Genomic DNA, 16,301 nt, shown 5'->3' with positions numbered 1-16,301 from the left:
GGTGTGCATTTATAGGATCTCCCATTTTAATGACTTTAGTCATTGAATTCATTTATTCACTTCATCACTCAATCAATATTTAATGAGAGCCACTAAGTGCCAGGGCTTGGTTTAGATGATGGATCCACAGGAATAATAGCCTATGGTTCTTGACTTTAAGAAATTCATGGTTCCACTATGAAACCAACAACTCAATAAAAACATTCAAGATGAGTCCAATATTAAATGAACTCGTTAATGCTTGTTAACGTCTTTCTATGTAGAATCTGACCCACCCCCAGTGGCCTCACAAATAATTCTTGAGAAGATATTCTTGTTAAGTGGCTCAGCCTCCCCAAAGGGGTGTTAACAAAACATTTCTCACTGGGGCCTATGACTACTTGTAGTAGCCCCACACACCTTTGTAAGGAATAAAGGTTCATTCAAGAGAATTGTTTAAAAAACACATAAACTATGAATTCTAACAGTTTTCTAAAACCTATTCTTGATTTAAGCCTGATGAACAGAGAATGAGGAATCTGGACTCCATCACTTTCATTATCAATAAGCTCTACACCCTTAATATTTGTTCTTGCTCTGGTATCATTGGCCCTCACTTAGGGATGTGATTTTAAAAATCCTAGCGAAATTTATTAGATCAATTAAAAAATATATTGATTTTGCCCCTTGGACTATTCTCTTTTTGCTACAATTTCAGCATTGTATCATGCCTTTCAGTGTACAAACATCCATCTTTAAAAAAAAATGCTCCCTTGATTACATATAACTCTCCAGATACTTGAGTGTTTCTCGGCTCTTCTTTTGAGCATCTTTTAGAAAGAGTTGTCCTCACCTCCAACCAAGCCTCCATCCCATACAGTCTGGCTTTTAGTCCTACCACTAAATGGAAAGACATGATTTAAACCATCAATTAAATCATTTCTGTTATTCACTCTCTTATGTTATGTAGTCACTCACTCTCTTCCTCTTGAAACACCCTCTTGTCTCCAAGCTTGGCCTTCCTGGTAGCTCTCTCCTCTTTTCCCTCCCTTCTTGGTCTCCGTTGTTGGGGTCTGTCCCTCTTCCTGACCTCTATACTGATTGCTGGGGACTCAGTCCTTGGATCTTTTCTAATGTTACCCTTCTCACTAGGTGATCTCATCTATTCTTGTGGATTTAAGCACTGGATTCAACGATTTATTTTTAAAAAACTTAATGTATGTCTGCAACTTGGAATTCTCTCCGAATTTTAGATACTTATCTCACTCCCTTGCACACACCATCAACATTTAAATGGATCTTGAATGTCTCACACTTAAGCAGCTCTAAAAGAATTATTTATTTCCCCTTTATCAGATATACATATTTTTAAACATCCTGGCTTCCCTGTCTTGGTAAATTATTCCACCATTTTCTTCGGTACCCAAACCATAAACTCAGTAGTTACCCTTGATTCCTTATTTTCTCTCCATTTTATTCCTAATTCATCAGGCATATTTTATGGACTCTACTTCCCACATACAGGGCACATTGGTCTACTCCTTTGACTCTCCAGTGCCAGCAGAGTGCTCAGGACTCATCGGCTCCCAAATGGAATCCCACAACTAGACGCTGCTTCCAGTTGGCTTCTTCCTAACACACTCCCTACAAAACAGATGGGTTCTTAAAAGAATTGAATCTTATCACTGTTGCCAAGTGAAGAATGACTCGGTTTATAAACTTAGCAAAAAGAGCTGGATGACTCATCAAGGGTTGCGGCCTGCAGGGTGGCCATTCTGACAGGCTGGGATGCGTAGTCTCCGGCCAGAAGGCAAAAACAGACACTTTGAGGGAGAGGCAATGGGAAGAAATTTATGCTGAGTGGGGTAGCCAAATATACATAATCAAAAAGCTGGGAGGAGTCATGAATATTTATGAAAGGAGAAATATGTGTATGTTCAATTAGGCTTCATGCCCCTTCATGGGTCCCATGTTCAAAAAAATGGCAGCATTATTATGACCTGAGAGTGGAATTTTCTGGCCTCTGACATCAAAAGATGAAGCAGAGGACATTACAATCCTTACTGCGCATTCTCCCTAGACTGGCTAGAGCCACTCCCTGGTCTCTTATCAGGAGAAAAGGAGGGGCAGTGTCAAGCAGTTGGTTAGTATCAGTGGTGGAGCCTTTTGAAAGGGCTGGTTTCTGTTGGACCCTTAGGGAAGAAAGGCTAACCATTGTTAGAGACGGAGGGGATATCAGGAAGTGAATCCGACCTACCATTTTGCCATGGCCTAGAAATCAGTTTTCAAGGTTACTCGGGGATGTCCTTGACCAAGAGATTGTTCATTCAGTCAGTTGGGGGGCTTAGGATCTTATTTTTAGTTTACACTCTACTCCTTAAATATTCTAATAGTTCCTGTCCTTCTGGAATAACCTCTGAGTACTTTATCTTGGCCTACAAAGCCGTGAATGATTTCTCTTCAGCCTTATCTTGATCCATTTCAGTCTTTGAATTCCTCTGGCTGACCCAGTACTTTCCTGCCTTCAGCTTTTGCAGAAGCTCCCATCTATGCCTGAAATGTTCTCACCCTGACTCTTCACATCTTTTGCATGTCAACTCAAATGCCACCTTTCATAGAGGCACCTCATCAGTACCCATCTAAAGAGAGCCCACATTATTCCCTATTCCATCCGTTATTTATGTCTGAATCATCGTTCTGAACATTCAGTGGATTTTTTTTTACTGATAACTCAGTCTTTTCTTTCACTCTTGAAAACTGTTGTTTCTGTCATTATTTCCCTTCCTCAATATTTCTGCTCTTTCTGAAGTTTTATTGAACAGATATTATACTTCCTACACTTATCTTTCGTAACATTTAACTTTCCTCATGCTAGCACTTGGTGTTTTTTTTTTCTTTTTAATCTGTTTTGAGAAATTTTCTGGGCTTTATGTTTTAGACAAAAATTTAGTTTCTGGCAATTTCTATTTTACTATTTTCTTATTTTTTTTGTAATTATATTTTTAATTGTCTCAATAGCTTTTCCTTATTTTTTAATTCTCTTTCATAACACTGTGTTCTTACTTTCTGTATTAGATAGTTTCTTAAACCTTTCTCTTTTTTTTTTTTTTCATTTTCAACTCTTATTTTAGGTTCGGGGATACATATGCAGTATATGGGTAAATTGCATGTTGCCAGAGTTTGATGTACAAATAATTTTGTCACCCAGGTAGTAAGCATACCCTCACACTCCCACAGCCCTGCACCCTCAAGTAGACCCCAGTTTCTGTTGTTTGCTTATTTGTGTCCATGTGTTCTCAGTGTTTAGCTCCCACTTATAAGTGAGAACATGTTATATTTGGTTTTCTGTTGCTGCATTAATTTGCTTAGGATAATGACCTCCAACTGCATCCATGTGGCCACAAGGGGCATGATTTCATTTTTTATGGCTGTACAGTAGTCCATGTTGTATATGTACCACATTTTCTTTACTCAGTCCACCACTGATGGGCAGCAAGGTTGATTTCATGTCTTTGCTATTGTGAATTGTGCTACAATGAATATGCAAGTGAATGTGTCTTTTTGGTAGAACAATTTATTTTCCTTTGGGTATATACCCAGTAATGGAATTGCTGGGTCAAACGGTAATTCTGTTTTTTAAGTTCTTTGAGAAATCTCCAAACTGCTTTCCATAGTTGCTGAATGAATTTACATTCCCACCAGAAGAGAATGTGTTCCCTTTTCTCTAAAACCTTGCCAACAGCTGTTATTTTTTAACTTTTTAATAATAGCCATCCTGACTGGTGTGAGATGGTATCCCATTGCGGTTTTGATTTGCTTTTCTTTAGTGATTAATGATGTTGAACATTTTTTCATATGTTTGTTGGCCATGTGTATGTCTTCTTTTAAGAAGTGTCTGTTCATGTCATTTGGCCTTTTTTTAGTAAGGTTATTTGGTTTTTGCTTGTTTTTTTTTTTGTTTTTTTTTTTTGTTATTGTTGTTTGTTTTTTTTTGTTTGGTTTGGTTTGGTTTTTAAGATGGAGTCTTGCTCTGTCTCCCAGGCTGGAGTGCAGTGGCGCAATCTCAGCTCACTGCAACCTCTGCCTCCCAGGTTCAAGCGATTCTCCTGACTCAGCCTCCCGAGTAGCTGGGATTACAGGGTTTCACCATGCTGGCCAGGCTGGTCTCAAACTCCTGACCTCAGGTGATCCACCCACCTTGGCCTCAAAAAGTGCTGGGATTAAAGGCTTGAGCCTGTTTTTTGCTTGTTAATTTGCTGAAGTTCCTTATAGATTCTGGATACTAGACTTTTGTCCAATGTATAGATAACAAATATTTTCTCCCATTCTGTAGTTTGTCTGTTTACTGATAGTTTCTTTTGCTGTGCACAAGCTCCTTAGTTTAATTAGGTCCTATTTGTCTATTTTTGTTCTTGTTGCAATTGCTTTTAGAGACTTCTTCATGAAATATTTGCCAAGGCCTATATCGAGAATGGTAGTTTCTAGGTTTTCTTCTAGGTTTTTTGTAGTTTTCGATTTTACATTTAAGTCTTTAATCCATCTTAAGTTGATTTTTGTATATGATGTAAGAAAGGGGTGAAATGTCAATCTTCTGCATATGACTAGCCAGTTATTCCAGCATCATTTATTGAATGGGGAGTTCTCTCCCCATCGCTTGTTATTGTCAACTTTGTCAAAGATCAGATTGTTGTAGGTGGGTTCTCTATTCTGTTCCATTGGTCTGTGTGTCCGTTTTATATCAGTACCATGGTGATTTGGTTACTGTAGCCTTGCAGTATAGTTTGAAGTCGAGTAGGGTGATGACTCTGACTTTGTTCTTTTTGCTTAGAATTACTTTGGCTATTTGGGCTCTTTTTTGGTTCCATATAAATTTTAGAATTGTTTTTCTAATCCTGTGAAAAGTGACAGTGGTAGTTTGACAGGAATAGCATTGAATCTATAAATTGCCTTGGGTAGTATGGCCATTTTAGCAATATTGTTTCTTCCTATCCAGAGCATGAAATGTTTTTTCCAGTTATTTGTGTCATCTCTAATTTCTTTCAGTGGTGTTTTGTGATTCTCGTTGTAGAGATCTTTCATCTCCCTGGTTAGCTGTGTGCCTAGGTATTTCATTCTTTTTGTGGCTACTGTGAATGGGATTACATTCTTGATTTGGCTCCCAGCTTGAATGTTATTGGCATACAGAAATGCTACTCATCTTTGTACGCTGATTTTGTATCCTGAAACTTTATTAACGTTGTTTATCAAATCTAAGAGCTTTTGGGAGACTATGGGGATTTTCTAGGGATAGAATCATATAATCTGTAAAAAGAGTTAGTTTGACACCGTCTCTTTCTATTTGGATGCCTTTCATTTCTCTTACCTGATCGCTCTGGCTAGGACTTCCAGAAGCAGAAATCTTCTGGATAGAAGTGGTGATATGTTGGATAAGAGTGGTGAGAATGGGCATCCTCATCTTGTTTTGGTTTTCAAGGGGAATGCTTCCAGCTTTTGCCCATTTAGTGTGATGTTGACCATAGGTTTGTCATAGAAGGCTCTTATTATTTTGTGGTATGTCCCTTCAGTGCCTAGTTTGCTGAGGGTTTTTAACATGAAGGGATGTTGAATTTTATCAGAAGCCTTTCCTGCGTCTATTGAAATGACCACGTGGTTTTCATTTTTAGTTCTGTTTATGTGATAAATCTTATTTCTCAATTTGTTTACACTAAACCAATTTTGCATCCCAGGGATAAAGCCTATTGATCATAGTAGATTTGCTTTTTGATGTACTGCTGGATTCGATTTGCTAGTATTTTGTTGAGTATTTTTCTGTCTATGTTCATCAGGGATTGATATGGTTTGTCTGTGCCCCCACCCAAATCTCAATTTGAATCGTATCTCCCAGAATTCCCACGTGTTGTGGGAGGAACCTAGTGGGAGGTAATTGAATCATGGGGGCTGGTCTTTCCCATGCTATTCTCTTGATAGTGAGTAAGTCTCATGAGATCTGGTGTGTTTATCAGGGGTTTCTGCTTTTGCTTCTTCCTCATTCTCTCTTGCCACCACCATGTAAGAAGTGCCTTTCACCCTCCACCATGACTGTGAGAACTTCCCCAGCCATGTGGAACTGTAAGTCTAATTAAACCTCTTTTTGTTCCCAGTTTCAGGTATGTCTTTATCAGCAGCATGAAAACAAACTAATACATGGATATTGGTGTGAAGTTTTCTTTTTTCATTGTGTCTCTGTCAAATTTTAGTATCAGAATAATGCTGGCCTCATGGAATGAGTTAGGGAAGATTCCCTCCTCAATTTTTTGAAATAATTTCATTAATGTTGGTGCCAGCTCCTCTTTGTATATCTGGTAGAATTTGGCTGTGAAGCCATCTGGTCCAGAGCTTTTTCTGGGTGGTAGGTTTTTTGGTACCAATTCAATTTTGGAACTCGTTATTGGTCTGTTTAGGATATCAGTTTCTTCCTGGTTCAATCTTGGAGGTTGTATGTTTCTAGGAATTTATCCATTTCTTCTAGGTTTCTAGTTTGTGTGCATAGGGGTTCATAAGAGTCTCAGAAATTTTTTTTTGCATTTTTCTGGGGCTGTACACCTTTCTTTGGATACTGATTAGATTTTTGTTGTTGATGTTTAGTTCTTTTCTAAGGGCTATTTTTCTTTTTATTTACATAAAAATATTCTTGTGCAAGCTCTTGATTTTCCTCTAATGCTTTGTGACTTTTGGCTATTTGGGTATGTTTAGAAGTAAAGAACTAGCTTAATTAGTATGCAGGATACAGTATTTTTTCTATCATATGTCTCCTAAATGGGCCCCTCTCCTGAATAGGAGAAATAAATGTGAGTTTTGTAGAGTTTAATTGCATCTGTCAGAGAGGTCCACTTCTCCATTTTGTACATGGGCAGGGAACAGGCAGGTAGCCGAGAAGCAAGTAAATTGCCTGGGTAATGAGACTGACTCTCAAGTGGGAACATTTAATATGCATCTTTCTGGATGTCCAGATCTCATTTTAATTTAATCTGGATTCCCTTTTATGATCTTTAATTGTCTAAAGACTTTCCCTGTTGCTCTCTTAGACTTCAACATCTATACTAGGAGTCTTCTCTAAGATAATATTTCTAGTTATTTAGAAAAGAGTTCATAGAATTCTATCTAGTGAACAAGTGCTCCAGCCAGCTGCTCTGTATATGTCAGTGACAGAGAGGAGCTGGCTTACCTAGCTGATCTGGAAACAGTGCTTTAACCTTGAACTTGGATGATTGCCTCCAGCCCTCATTTACTGTGTGCATTTGTTAACCCCAGTGGGGTGTTCCTCAGACCTCTGTCAGGACTTCTCTCTGCAGCAGACTTTGCCTGTGGGTACTTGGAGTTCTAGATTTTTCTATGTTGGTTGTGCTCCCATTCAACCTCTTCTAATTTCTACTATTAAGAAATAGCTTACAATTTCAGAGCCACTAATAATATCCATGTGTGTTTTTAGCACAAAAGTTTATCATATATTTTAAAGAATCTTTACCATTATTTATGAGGGAATTTGGGAGGGATGGGAAGTAAATAGGTGAGCTCAATGCTATCACTATTTATTGGAAGTTCCTCTACATCTGCAGCAGTTTTATCTCCTTCCCTAACCCTAACCATTTCTTTCTAGCCCTGGGGTCCAAGATTCTTGTTTCACAGGCCTATCTTACCATGTTTAATGCACCCTTGTTAGTCACCATAATACATGTGGCATGGTGTGAGATATTAGTGAGTTAAATAAAATACATATGAGAAGCTCCAAGAGAGTCAGGTACGAATGATCTGTGGGCAAAAGGGTCAGTGTGACTAGGTGGAGTCATGGACGTGCACAGAGGAGCCAACACAATAGTCTTCACAGAGTGGGTAATTGAGCTCACTCTTGAAGGGAAAGAAGGCATTCGGGAAGGAGATGACCCCATGCAGAGAGGACAGAATTCTCTGGGCATAAGGTATGAAAGTATTACACAGGATGGGAGCCCAGTGTGCAGGGGATGAGACAGGATGCAAAATCAGGAGCCAGATCCTGAAAGGCTTGTGTCTATTGTACTAAACAATTTGGAATTTACCCTACAGGCAGAAGTGACCCATTGAAGGATTTTAAATGTGGACATAACGGGATGAATAAATGCTAACCTTTAGTCAGCTCTTAGGATGCACCAGGCAGTGCTCCAAGTGCATGCCAGGGGTTAAGTCATTTAATCATCATGATGACCTGATGAGGCCAATGTGAGGAATATCCTCATTTTCTACTGAAGATGTTGAGTCCTAAACATAAGTTTCCTAAGGTCAGGCTCTTCATCTGTTCACAGATGGGCCCTGGGTTTCTAGCTCTGGGCCAGCGTGATGAATGTATGCAGAATGAATGAATGAATGAGGCTCACGGGTTACACACACAGGGAAGGACAGAGCTAGGACCTGAAGAAGGGTGGCCTTATCCCAAAGCCTACACATTTAACCACTATCATCGTTTCTACATTAAAAAGATGAAAAAGATAATGCTGGGTAGGGGAAGAGATTGGAATGTGATCTGACTGGAAGGAGACTAACAATAAAATTACATGCATTATATAGTGTAACTCAAAGTATAATCACTGAATATTAATTTGAAAATAAGCATTGTGGGAAAAAGTAAATACTATATATTTACTTGTTTAATTTTTTGACTTTTTCCACTAGAATCTGCTCTCCCTGAGGTCAAAGATTTTGTCTACTTTGTTTATTGTTGCATCTTTAGCACCTCAAAGAATTTCAGGCATAGAATGGTTGATCAATAAATATTTGTCAACTAAATGAATGGTTATGTAATTTTGAAAATATTGTATATTGGATCTTCCTCTTGGTGATTTATAACCTATATTAGCATATTAATGGCAATAAAAAACTTTGATTTTTTTAACCTAGTTTTTAAAAATTCTATTTACCCTCATACCATTTTATTCTTAGAATTAGTGTTTTTCTTATAATTATTGTATTAGGATTAGATATACTTTGAGGGAACTTCTCTTCAGGAAGTTTCTACTCAATATATTGTTATATCAAGGAGTTATTTTACATGCTGGAAAATATCCATATTATAAATTATTATAAGTAATTAATAATTAATATTAATAATGATATCCACTCATTATTAATAAAACAAAGAAACTGTTTTAGACAATGGCATACCCAAGCAAAGCAAGCAAAGTGTGTCCTATTTGGATTAAGTCAAGTTAGCACTGGTAGGGCTGCATGGGGTCTATAGAGATTCAGAGGTTTTTTTGTTTGTTTGTTTTTATGAAGATGAAGTCTTGCTCTGTCACCCAAGCTGGAGTGCAATGGGGCAATCTCGGGTCACTGCAACCTCTGCCTCCCGGGTTCAAGTCATTCTCCTGCCTCAGCTTCCCGAGTAGCTGGGATTACAGGTGCCTGCCATCGTGCCCAGCTAATTTTTGTATTTTTAGTAGAGACAGGGTTTCATCATGTTGGCCAGGCTGGTCTCGAACTCCTGACCTCAGGTGATCCACCCGCCTCAGCCTCCCAAAGTGCTGGGATTACAGGTGTGAGCCACCGTGCCCAGCTAGAGATTGGGTTCCTAAGGATACCCAGTGTAACGTGAGAAAGGTGGATGCTTATAATTTTAGAATAAGTTTGTACAGTGCTAAGGATTAAGGAATAGGAGCCTGTGGTTCCCCTAGGCCTGCTTTTTTCACTATTTCTTGCCTTTCCTCTGCTCTGTAGTGAGCCACGGATGGTTAGGAGGAGGGGACATCTGCAGGCTGCATCTCCCAGACCTCCTGTCATCTGGCTTTTAGATGAATTCAGCCAATGGCAGGCACTGGCATGAGAAAGGAAGGAGATGCCAGGGCATTTTTCTTCCCTTTTAACTGGTTCAGGCGGGTCTCCAGTAGCAAGGCTGTCCCTCCACTGTATGGCTACCTGCGGTGCAGACCACAGTTCTTCTTTTTTTTTTTTTAATGGAGATTTTTTTTCTTTATTGAGAAACGTAAGACTTGGGTAATCAAATGAAACCAATTTCTGGGGGGAAAAAATCAAAACCCACAATAGAAAAAAAAAAGTTAACACTGTCTGGGCCACAGCAGAACCCAGAGAACATATTCGTATCATTGAAAAATTCTAGGCGCTTCACAATTGACCTTTTGATACAAAATGACCTATTAAATTTGCAATTTGTAGTTCTTGGTGTTGAGGTCCATAGGACAAGCTAGGAAGACTTCAAGCCTTGAGCTGAATTCCATGAGGGGTTATTTGGCTTTTGAATCGGTTTTTCCTTGTCTGAGTGGTAGCAGCAGCAACAGCGCCCACCTTCTGGGCAGCTTCTTTCTTGGCATGATGAGCCTGTAGAACTGCTACAGCTTCATCCACCTTGGAGCGGAGAGACTCGGGGGACTCTAACACGTGCAGCAGCTCAGAGTTGTCGATCTCCAGCAGCATTCCCGTGATCTTCCCAGCCAGGTTTGAATGCATTGTTTGGATGAGTGGGAACACGCGTTCTCCCAGCATCTGCTTCTGTTCCGTGCGGGGGTGCTGCAGCCAACATGGAGGCAGTGAGTGGCTCCCGCCCCTGCACACGGACCGCAGGCTGGGGCGCCGGCTGAGGCTGTATGGCAGGATGAGGGCTGCGGACACAGGAGGCGTATTTGTAGGGGGCAACATCCTGGGGAGCAGCAGCAGCAACAGCAGCGCGCGGCGCAAAATTCTGCCCAGCTGTGGGAACGCCTCCAGATTGGCAGCTGGGAGGCACCAGCCCCACCAAAGTCCATAGCCAAGCAAGACCACAGTTCTTTAGGATGAACTCAGCGCCAGGGATATGGGAGCACCACATCATCCCTTCTCTACTCCAGCCTTAGGATGGTGGCGACATCCTGATGTTACTAATTCCTGAGTTGCCTCATCGCCCCCTATTTGTTTCTGAGATCCTTCACTACCTCTGAAAGCTGAATCCAATTCCCCCTGCTTTGAATACTTGGAGTTACTTTTGTTTTCTTAGTCGTGGCCTAAATGATATGGTCAACAATAACAAATAAAGGAAAGAGTGCTGCTGGAATAATTGTTCTAATCTACAAAATGAATGACTGGTGGAAAGATGATTTTCGTTTTTGAAATTCAAAGATTCTATAAATGGCATTTTCTAAAGTGCTGTCTAAGGGTCATCTGCTTCAGAATTCCTAGAAAAGTTGATTTAAGATGCATGTTCCTGAACTCATCTTTAACCTGCTAACTCAGAATCTCTAGGGGATGGCAGGGGATTGTGCAATATCAACCTACTGCCTACCGCCTTTTTGAAAAATAAAGTTTGAAATAAAATGGTCTACTCTATTTGAGCTTCTTGGGAATGTTTTGAAAAGAAGTGACACAATGTGCATTAAGGTATCCTGATGGATTTTACGTGTGCTCTATTTCAAGAGATGTCACCTGTCAAATCAATAAATTTAGACGAGTTTGGTTAATTTTTAAAACGTCACATTGTATGAACCTTCCAAAAGTAAACTACGTCCTAAGAAGTGGTAAATATGTTGCACTTACCACTAAGAAATTTCATAATCTACAAAATAATGAATACATAAATATAAAACTATGTACAAGCCAGATGAGTTGGCACACCCCTATATTCCTAGCTACTCAGAAGGCTGAGGCGGGAGGATCAGTTGAGCTCAGGAGTTTAAAGCCTGCCTGGGGCTAGCTGTGGTGGCTCATGCTTGTAATCCCAGCACTTTGGGAGGCTGAAGCGGGCAGACCACCTGTGCTCAGGAGTTTGAGACCAGTGGGGACAACATGGAGAAAACCCGTCTCGACAAGAAATACATAAATCACCCGGGCACAGTGGTGCATGCCTGTAGTCCCAGCTACTCAAGAGGCTGAGGCAGGAAAATCGCTTGAGCCTGGGAGGTGGAGGCCACAGTGAGCCATGATGGTGAAACTGCACTCCAGCCTGGTAGACCGTGAGACACTGTCTCAAAACAAAACAAAACAACAACAACAACAACTCAGCCTGGGCAACATAGCAACACCTCATCTCTATAAAAAACAAAACAAAACAAAACAAGAAACCAAAAAGAAAAAAAAAAAAACTATTTACAGACCAAAATTGCATGCCATTCTTGTTAAACTAGTGACTGCCAAAGCTGTTTTATCATATCCTGAAAAAACTGAACTTATGTAAAGGGTAGTAAGTATTTTAAATACATTTCCAATCAAGATAAGTTTTAATACATTACTTAAAATATTCAATGTGCAACACTTTAAAGAGAAACTAAATAGGTCGGGTGCTTCAGTGATAAAATATTTTCTTAGCCTAGGTTTCAGCAAAAAAGCAAAGCTTGAGGCAAGCACTGAGTGCAAATAGTTTTTTGGTGGTGGTTGGGGGGCGGCGGACTGGGGGGAAGTGAACTCAAAGTGGAGAAGCAGGAAAATGGGAAAAGAGGAAGCCAGTCCAAGAGTGCTACAAAGTTGATTGTGACTACAGGCAACTGAGGCTGGATCCCACTGGGCATACTTCAATGAGTCAAATAGAGTAAGTGCGCTTCAAAATCGCCCTCCAGTTACATAGAAGAGGGAGGATTTATCCCTCAGTTCTTTTCCTTCATTGGTCAGTGGTTACCCCATGTTATGTTGACTTGTAACACTTCCAGGCATGCGTATAGGTTAGTCGCTGAATGGGACTTTGCAGCTAATCTATGCAGTGATGGCAAAGTAATTCTAGTAAAACAAGAAAAGAAAGAAAGAGCGAAATAACAGAAAAAAGGCACACGGTAGAGCTGAGACAAGCTGCTGATAGGATATACCGGTAATAATGGCTTCTGTAAGAAAGTGGGCAAAAAAAATGAAATACAGCCTAAGGGGAATCTAATATACCTTTTAAAAGATCTTTAATCGTTATCAGAAATGACTCCAGGCAAAGGGGTGTGGGTTTTTTCAAATGCGTGAATTATAAATATTTTATTTCAAGAAATGGTTTTTGTATTTTTAGTCTAGATTCTGTTTATGGCCCATCTCTTCTCCTTCTGGCCTGATGGGAAACATTTGTCCCTTTGTAGTTAGCATGCAAAACTTGGAAAGCACCCATGAAATAAAAGCAGGTTAAAATAAATTTCCTATGACATAAAATTAACCATCAGAGCTATGCCTTAGAATTGTTTATTTGGTGGCTGGAAAGAGTCTTGTTGGACACTGAGCAGATTACGGAGTTGCCACCAAAAGGACTTCTAACATAGGTTTCTCTTAAATCATTCTGGTGACAATGTAAGCTATGGTATGCTGGAAGCATTTGAAAAAGTTCATGATGTGTCTCCAGCTCTCTTCTCATAAGCACAGGGAGTCATTGTTTTCTTCTCTGGATGGTCTCAAAATCCTCCATAGCTGTCTCTCCCCCAGCTCTCCTTCTGTGATTTTCACTGCTCCTTATCACGTTGTCTTCTATTTTGCCATTAATATTTTTACAGAAAAAAACACTTTTTTAAACTTTTCTATTCTCTCTGCCAGTGTAGATCCATTTGTATTAATCTATCTCCAACCTGAAATTCCTCCAGAAACTGTTTAGGCTGCCGGTGCTGGTTGGTACCTGCTTCTTACGTATTAGTAAGAGCCTAAACCCTGGAGTTCATCAATCCTCTGTTTGTATCTGGGCTCCACCACTTATAAACTGCATGAATCTGAAATGCATCTTAACGATTTGAGCCTCATGTTTTCTTCTGTGAAATGGAGATATTATTTCTCACAGGATTATTGTGAAACCCAAATGAGGTAATAGCTGAAAAAGAGTAAACGCTTTGTGTCTGCATTGTGTCTGCAACATAATATACACGTGTTAAATGATAATTAACATCATTATTCAGTGCCATCATCAATTTATGTTTTTCATCTGTATCCTTAGATGTTATCTTGAATTTAACAGTAAATGTAAAGACAGAATTCCCAGTAGCAATAACTTGACATCAGTCTTGTCTACTGGCTTTAAACGGATGCTCTTTGAACCACAGGGCTGATAAACCAGGTGTGTAGAGACCTGTAAATAGAAACAAGTCTAATCACATGTTATTTAAAAACAAACCTAGATGGCAGAAGCAATTCTTCAGTGAAGGCTTCAAGCAACACCTCCAAACTTCTGACACATCTGGGAAGCGGTACTGTAGAGCTGACCTACCTTGAATGAGACCTTTAAATGTGAGTAGTTTTTACTGACTTTCTCAGAGTCACAAATAGCAGTAGATTTTGTTGCTGCGCTTGCAATCATGTGAAAAAAAATGCAAGTTTCACATGTGGACAGTGAGGAAATGATTCTTGGTCTTACTTTGTGCTCTTCAATCCCACCCAAAGTGCAGTCAACACCACACAGTAAAAGAACGTTTTACTCAAGTTGGTGGCTCAGACAGGCAAGCTGAAGACCAAAAGAATAAGAAAATAAAGTTGATTTTTTGAAATCTAACTATTAACCACACTGGCATGTGTGAATTAACTTCTGCAGTGAACCAGAAACTTTTCTGCAAATATGAGGACAAAGAGTTTGGGAACTCCTCAAACACTTATTAAGGTATCTTGGTTGTGAAATCAGGAAGGTGGGATAGGACTAGGATTGGAATGGGGTGAGTAGAAACCTAACCAATGGCCTTTGACTATTTGGAGAGACTCTATACACACAGAAAAGGCTGCTCAGCTTGAAACATGAGAAAAGGAATTCAGGGAGCCAGAATTTCACAGGGTTTATCTAAAGGCCACCCAGGAGAAAAGCTCACTGGCTGTAATATGCACAAGACTGTCATCATAAAGATGCTTTCTGCCGAGGAGCAGGGCTAACCTGATCTTCATGGGTACATGATAGCATCATGGAATTCTTAGGAGATGACTTTTTGAAACTGGCCCTCAAGAATTGCTTGCAGGCATAGTTATGTTTAGATCTGAGGTCTGATTACCCCACATTAAGAAATGAAGTCTTGATGCTTTTTGTGATAGTTTGTATAGCAATCTTACCTCAACACTGCCAGTCTACTTTTTTTTTTTTTTTTTCTGAGACAGCGTCTTGCTCCATCACCAAGCTGGAGTGCAGTGGCACAATCTCAGCTCACTGCAACCTCTGCCTCCTGGGTTCAAGCAATTCTCCTGCCTCAGCCTCACAAGTAGCTGGGATTACAGGCATGTGCCACCATGCCCAGCTAATTTTTGTATTTTTAGTAGAGGCAGGGTTTCACCATGTTGGCCCGGGTGGTCTCAAACTCCTGACCTCAGAAGATCCACCTGCCTCAGCCTTCCAAAGTTCTGGGATTACAGGCATGAGCCACCACGCCCGGCCGAAGGTGGGGCCTTCTTGCCCAACCAATTTTGTCTTTCACGTTACTGACCCAGATGATTCGAAGAACGAAGATAGCTATTGGCCTCATCTCTCTCCATCTCTCTGTCCTACCCCACCACCCCTTCTTACCCTCTCTCCCTCTCTTCCCCTGTTCACCACTAGGAGCATAACAAGCCTGCTCCTCCTGAATCAGGGTGACCTCTGTGCACTGTAAAGATGCAACTCCTTCAAGACTGGCTGGGCTACTCAGGCTCTGATCACAGGCTTCCTCCACCAGTGAGCCAGCCTGCCAGTCAGTCATTCATGAAACATTTATTTAGAATTTGCTGTGTTTCAGGTAATGATAAAAAAAATAAAATAAAAGAAGAAGGAGGAATAAACTTGATCTTCCTCTTTAGTAATATGCAATTTATCTTTCGGATTTTTCGAAGGTTGATTCTCTAACTGCAGGTCAACGCTTCTTGACTCCCTGGTTTTCCTTCTTGACTCACTGCTCAGGAGACTGCCCTTTTAGTGATAATTCTGCTCCACTTCTGCTTTCAACCTGCATATTCTTCATGAGGAATCTACTGGATCCTTGATCCTATACCCACCACTTCTCCACTGGGTTTCCCTTTTCTTAGATTCATCCGTTTCCATTAGCAGCCACATTCCTCCAGACACTGCCATCGCTGTGACACTAATTTGGCTTGCCTTCTGGCAACTGAACTATTATGCCTCTTAATACAATCGTCCCATCTACTCCCTGAGGAGTGCCTGGGCAAGTCTGGTGTTCTGGGGACCTGGTTGCAGAGTCATATTAGTGGACAACTTTTCTGTTGCTTTCTGATGCTACTGCAGGTGGTGATGATGGTACCAGCATGCACACTTGTCAACATTATCACATTCAGTCCCACAACAGCAACAACAGAAAGGAGGTGAAGATATCATCCACACGTTAGCAACCAGAAGACTTAGCTCCTCAAAGTAAAGTAGTTTGCCCTATGTCACCAAGTGGAAAGTGGCAGGGATAGCTTTACCTGTTCCTGAAACC

The 16,301-nt window shown here is 40.3% G+C and overlaps 1 long non-coding RNA gene and 1 pseudogene across 1 annotated transcript in view; one reads left to right on the top strand and one right to left on the bottom strand.

Annotated features, from left to right (window-relative positions):
• LINC01581 (long intergenic non-protein coding RNA 1581) overlaps nucleotides 1-16,301 on the top strand; it is a 202,536-nt gene that overhangs the window by 63,501 nt on the left and 122,734 nt on the right. The window lies entirely within an intron of this gene.
• Nucleotides 10,166-15,937, bottom strand: LOC105371032 (polyadenylate-binding protein 4-like; annotated as a pseudogene).

This window comes from Homo sapiens, chromosome 15 (genome assembly GCF_000001405.40).
Source record: "Homo sapiens chromosome 15, GRCh38.p14 Primary Assembly".
In the NCBI taxonomy this organism is placed as follows: domain Eukaryota; kingdom Metazoa; phylum Chordata; class Mammalia; order Primates; family Hominidae; genus Homo; species Homo sapiens.
This window is presented reverse-complemented; position numbering and strand designations above follow the sequence as displayed.